General features: G+C 54.1%; 1 annotated feature.

Moving 5' to 3' along the window:
- Positions 685–880: a silencer, noted in NCBI's record as "fragment chr5:175044235-175044430 (GRCh37/hg19 assembly coordinates)". NCBI's record gives its function as "represses an EF-1alpha promoter that drives an FKBP-Casp9 reporter gene in an ReSE screen in phorbol 12-myristate 13-acetate-treated (for megakaryocytic differentiation) K562 erythroleukemia cells {active_cell/tissue: K562(+PMA)}" and the evidence as "EXISTENCE:reporter gene assay evidence [ECO:0000049][PMID:32094911]".

The raw sequence follows: 1,130 nt of genomic DNA on the forward strand, positions 1-1,130 counted from the left end.
CTTCGGGAGGCCGAGGCGGGTGGATCATCTGAGATCAGGAGTTTGAGACCAGCCTGGCCAACATGGTGAAACCTCGTCTCTGCTAAAAATACAAAATTAGCCAGGCGTGGTGTCAGGCGCCTGTAATCCCAGCTACTCAGGAGGCTGAGGCAGCAGAATCGCTTAGAACCTGCGAGACGGAGGTTGCAGTGAGCCGAGATCGTGCCACTTCACTGCAGCCTGGGTGACAGAGCAAGACTCTGCCAGAAAAAAAAAAAAAAAAGATGGAAAGATGCAGTTTGAAGATGTGTGTGAATGCACTCATTCAGTCCCTCAGCAGCTATGACTGGCACCTCCTATGCTCCAGGCGCTGCCCTGCCCCTGCGAAGGCAGTGGTGATGGAGGGACAAGGGCCCTGGCCTCATGGAGCTTACACTGGGGCAGGGGGGCAGACAATAAATACACAAATAGGAGACTCCCAGAGTCAAGGTGCCCTGCAGAATACAGAACAAGGTCAAGAGTGTCTGGGGAGTGCTGCTTTCACTGGGGTGACCTCCCGGAGAAGTAGAGTGAAAGGGGCCAGCCTTTAAAAAGCAGAATTATCAGCCAAAGTGGTGCAAGCAAACTTGGCTTTGCAGGAAAACAGAGAAGAGGCCAGTGTGGCTGGATGCACAGAGCCAGAAAGGTGGGTGGGCAGGAGGCAGCCCCTGCAGCTGGAAACCAGGAGCAGGTTCAGATGTGGTTCCCACTGAGAAGGAGGGTCCTCGGAGACCTCCTTGGAGACCCTGAAGGAGGGTCTCCACTGAGAAGGAGGGTTTGAGGAAGCAAGTGTCATGAACAGGGAAGAGACCTGGCTATGAGTGAGCTATGTGAACTGTACACAGCACTGCACACCCACGAGCTATGACGCATTTGATCTTCTGGGGTCCCCGTTGTGGAGGGTTAATCTCCAGATTCTGGAGGGTTCTGTTTTGTCCTCTGGGCAAACAGGTATACTTTGGTGCTAAGTCAGCTACAATCTGTTCTTCTCATTTCCTTCCCTCTTTGCCTTTCCCGGCTCTGGCGGGCTCTGCACCTGGATTCTGACCTAACCCAGGATGTCCCCATCTGAGCCACTGGAGGGCAGGCCACAGTGGCAGTCACCAAGTAGG

Source organism: Homo sapiens, chromosome 5 (assembly GCF_000001405.40).
Source record: "Homo sapiens chromosome 5, GRCh38.p14 Primary Assembly".
NCBI lineage: Eukaryota > Metazoa > Chordata > Mammalia > Primates > Hominidae > Homo > Homo sapiens.